Source organism: Homo sapiens, chromosome 17 (genome assembly GCF_000001405.40).
Source record: "Homo sapiens chromosome 17, GRCh38.p14 Primary Assembly".
Classification (NCBI taxonomy): Eukaryota; Metazoa; Chordata; class Mammalia; order Primates; family Hominidae; genus Homo; species Homo sapiens.
Genome location: NC_000017.11, coordinates 17,456,192 through 17,461,064, shown reverse-complemented (window position 1 = coordinate 17,461,064; position 4,873 = coordinate 17,456,192). Strand labels below are relative to the sequence as shown.

Sequence of the window (4,873 nt, the reverse complement as noted above, 5' to 3'; positions counted from 1 at the left end):
TGGGAATGTGGTGAATGCTTTACTATTAAATTTTATATTTGCTATTGGTTTTTGATAAAAACTAGAGGTTAAGGAAATTTCCATCTATTTTTAGTGATTAACTTGTTCATGATTTTCCTAATGAACTTAATTCACTGATCAAAGTTTAATTTCTGTTCAATAGAACAGTCTTTAATAAATGACCAAAATTTCATCTGGATAAAGAATGGTTTGCCTATGAACAAAGTTCTCCATGAGATTGGACTGTGTCTGGTGAGTTTGAGGATCAGGTAGAGGCTCCTCGGGGAAACCTTGCGAGGGGCATCACCTCTGCTTGCTCCACGTAAAATCCTATCACATAACCCTTTGAATGTCAGTCTCTTCATTAGTCAAAGGAAGAAGCTGGGTTAGGTTTCTGGCTAAAAGACCCTATGGCTGTGTTTCTCCAAGGCTTTAAAAAGGACAGTAAATGAGAGGGTAATAAATGTTCAAATTCAAAAATAGTTATTCGGTGGTAGAATTATAAGTGCTGTTTATTTATTTTTTTATTTTTAGGCAAGTCGAGTGAAGCAGTGGAAGTGGAGAAGGAACAAAGAGATCTGTAACTGCTTGTGATCAATTAGTTGTAAATGCTACTGCGTTTAAAAATAAATAAATAAACAGCACTTATTGGAGATGTCTTCAATGGTGATGATGATCATGGTGATGATGGTGATGATGGTGATGGTGATGGTGATAGTGATGATGGTGATAGTGATGGTGATGATGGTGATGGCGGTGATGTGGCGATGGTGATAGTGATGATGGTGATGGTGGTGATGTGATGGTGATGGTGATAGTGATGATGGTGATGGTGATGGCGATGGCAGTGATGGTGATGGTGGTGATGGTGATGATGATGATGGTGGTGATGATGGTGATGGTGATGGTGATGATGGTGATGGTGGTGATGGTAATGATGGTGATGGTGATGGTGGTAATGGTGATGATGGTGGTGATGGCGATGGTCATGATGGTGATGGTGGTGATGGTGATGATGGTGGTGATGGCGATGCTCATGATGGTGATGGTGGTGGCAGCAATGATGACAGTCACACAACAGCCAACAATACTGAGTGATGCCTTCTGCCTGGCATATTCCCAAAGCCAGACATGAATTCACTGTTCAGTCCTCATTGCTCATTTCCAGCCTCATTGATAACTCCATAATTTATGGAAGAGGGAAGAGAGGCACAGCATGATTGGACCATGCACACAGCTATGTAAATGGTGGTACTGCCAGGGATAAAAGGCCACCAAAGCCGGGCTGTGACTCCTGACACCGCCTCTCCTCCTACTGAGAGACAGCCTCATGGAGAGGGGATAGGTTCGGTTGCTGGAGCATCCCAGGCCTCCAGAGGGTGATGAAGGGGAGGGAAGAAAGTCTGGGCAAAATGGCAGGCCGGCAAAGCTCCCCTTCTTGGGACAGAGTGCTCCTACACCTTAGACACCCTCACTTCATTCTTTTTTTAAATTTTAAAACATTTTTATTATAAAAGTAATACAAATAAAAATAAACATTGAGAAAAGACAAAGTCATCCATTTACTGCCTCCCATCCCACTGTAACCACAGTTAGTAATTTGATTTACTTTGTCATCTTGTTATCAAATGCTTGATGTGTTATTTCAGCCATGATTACACCCACTCATACACTTTTGCATCTTGCAAATTTTACTTAATGTAAAATTCTCATGTTTTTAATAATATTCATTATTTATTTTATTTTATTTTATTTTTCTGAGACCAAGTCTTGTTCTGTCCCCAGGCTGGAGTGCAGTGACGTGATCTCCGCTCACTGCAACCTCTGCCTCCAGGGTTCAAGTGATTCTCCTGCCTCAGCCTCCCTAGTAGCTGGGACTACAGGCGCACATCACCATGCCCAGCTAATTTTTGTGTTTTTAGTAGAGATGGGGTTTCATCATGTTAGCCAGATGGTCTCAATCTCTTGACCTCGTGGTCTGCTCACCTTGGGCTCCCAAAGTGCTGGGATTACAGGCATGAGCCACCGTGCTTGGCCCTAATTTTTAATAAGTACATTATGTATCGTTTGTATATACCTGTTTATCGACTATTTCCTAGACCCAGGGATGGCAAACTATGGCAACACATTTGTAAATAAAGTTTTACTGGAACAAAGCCGTGCCCATGTTGTTTATGTATTGTGTGTGGCTGATTTTATGCTTCATACAGCAGTGTTGACAAGTTATGACAGAGACAGTAGGTTTCAAAACCTAAAATAGGGCTGGGCGTGGTGGCTCATGCCTGTAATCCCAGCACTTTGGGAGGCCAAGGCAGGCGGATCACAAGGTCAGGAGTTCGAGACCAGCCTGCCAATATGGTGAAACCCTGTTTCTACAAATACAAAAATTAGCCTCGCATGGTGGCAGGCGCCTGTAGTCCCAGCTACTCGGGAGGCTGAGGCAGGAGAATCACTTGAACCCAGGAGGTGGAGTTTGCAGTGAGCCGAGATCATGCCACTGCATTCCAGCCTGGGCAACAGAGCGAGACTCTGTCTCCAAAAAGAAAAAAGAAAACACTTAAAATATTTACTTTCTGGCCCTTTATAGAAAAAGTTTGCCGATATTTACCCCAAACTTTTAAGTGGTTTATAATTTGGGCTACTAAAAGTAACGTCACTCGCAACATCTTTGTGCATATAATTTTTCATACCTTGTACAATTTGAGAGACATTAACAAAAGTGGAATAACTGGGTCTAATTAATGAAGACATTTTAAAAACTGATACTGTCCCACACTATCTCTCTTGTAATATTCAAGCTATGATATAATAAGGATGGTGGTAATAAGAATGAAAAGGAAGGCCCAGAACTCTTGTGGGTAGCATGTCTCCTATCCCTGTTACTCAGGACATGTAAGTTTACACTCTGGATGAACATATTTTGAGTTTTGATTTAAAGTTAACCAAAAAAGAGAAATAACAGTCATTGCAACAGGAGGACCAATTGAAAGAAATCTTTTACCTTCTACTGGGTAGGAAAAAGCAGAAGTAGGTGACAAGGTATGTATAAAATGCCATTCCAAGGTAGCTGCAGTGGCCAAAAGGCACTGGGAGAGTTGAGTAAGAGAAAGAGATGGCAGTCTCAACAATGAGCTAGCAGTGGGAGCAATAAACAGAGGCAACTATGAGTGCTATAAGTGTGGGATGACAAAAGCAGCACACAGGTTCCACCTGTCTGAACACATCCTAGGCGTAAACCTGTATACAACTGTAATTAAACTGTCTCTAGATAAGAAAGTTGTAAAGAAACCACCTATATTTTTTAAGAAAGAAAAAGTCTTCTACCTGGAGAGGTTTTTTTTTTTGTTTTTTTTTTTTTTCTGGAGTCTCGCTCTGTCACCCACACTGGAGTGCAGTGGCATGATCTTGGCTCACTGCAACCTCCACCTCCGGGGTTCAAGCGATTCTCCTGCCTCAGCCTCCTGAGTAGCTGGGATTACAGGTGCGCGCCACCACACCCAGCTAATTTTTTGGTATTTTTAGTAGAGACGGGATTTCACCACGTTGGTCAGGCTGGTCTCGAACTCCTGACCTCGTGATCCACCTGCCTCAGCCTCCCAAAGTGTTTGGATTACAGGCATGAGCCACTGCGCCCAGCCCCCCCTGGGGAAGTTTTATTCTTCAGAATGAAAACCTTATGGAATAGGGAAGTCAACCCTCACTATCTAAGTCAACCCTGACTATCTCTGAGATAAAAGACAAAGCAGTCTGACGGGTCTCAAATCCAATCTTGTATGAATAAAACAAGCATCAGGAAACATAGATGTCATCTTCTAAGAGAAATATTCTGAGGGTCTGGCAGCATAAATCCATCAGTAAGTTTATAATAGACTATTGTAGAATCAGACTCCATTATGGCCAGAGTAAAAGACATCAGCAAATCTGGATCACCTGGCAATTTTCAAGATGCCTTCAAGATCTCCCTTATCCTGTTATGGCTGAGGGAAGCAGTGATGGGGGTAGGCACCACAGTCTGTAACCCCTCCTCTTCTATCTCAGTACCAACAAGGCAGATGAGCTGGAGTTCTGGTAATCTGACACAGTTTAGTTCATGCCAGTTTTGCTTTCTATGAGGTCCAGATAAACCAAGAATGCTATATAAACATGGGTGGCATCTTCTGTGTCTAGTTCCATCATTTCTTTTTTTTTTGAGATGGAGTCTCACTCTGTCGCCCAGGCTGCAGTGCAGTGGTGCGATCTCAGCTCACTGCAACCTCTGCCTCCTGGGTTCAAGCGATTCTCCTGCCTCAGCCTCCTGAGTAGCTGGGATTATAGGCATCCGCCACCACGCCCAGCTAATTTTTGTATTTTTAGTAGAGACGAGGTTTCACCATGTTGTTCAGGCTGGTCTCAAACTCCTGACCTCGTGATCCACCCGCCTCAGCCTCCCAGCCTCCCGCCTCAGCCTCCTGGGATTACAGGTGTGAGCCACCACACCCAGCCTAATTTCATCATTTCTAAATATTTAAGGTGGGTGCCCATCCAGGCGTCCTCGGGGACCCACGAGGGAGCTCCACCGCAGTCGCCAAAGCCGCGAACGCCACACAGACCCAGGCCACTGCAGCCAGGGGTCAGCTTGAAATTGCCACGCTCCTCCATGCCGGCTGGTGCGGCGCTCCCGTGGTGCACACTTCATTGTAAGACTATTCTTGCTGGTGCTGTTTAAGAAGTCCTGTTCTCGTCTCTGTTTCTCTCCACACTGTCTCTCCCACGTGAGCCTTAGGAATGGAGGTGCTGGCGAGGAAGGCCCGAGGTGATGAAAGGAGGGAGAGAGTTGCTAGAGCTTCTGCAGCGACCCCCCTGGGACATAAGAACAACTCTGCCCTGCTGGGGT

The 4,873-nt window shown here is 44.3% G+C and overlaps 1 pseudogene; it reads right to left on the bottom strand.

Moving 5' to 3' along the window:
* TSEN15P1 (tRNA splicing endonuclease subunit 15 pseudogene 1) lies at nucleotides 3,642–4,664 on the bottom strand (annotated as a pseudogene).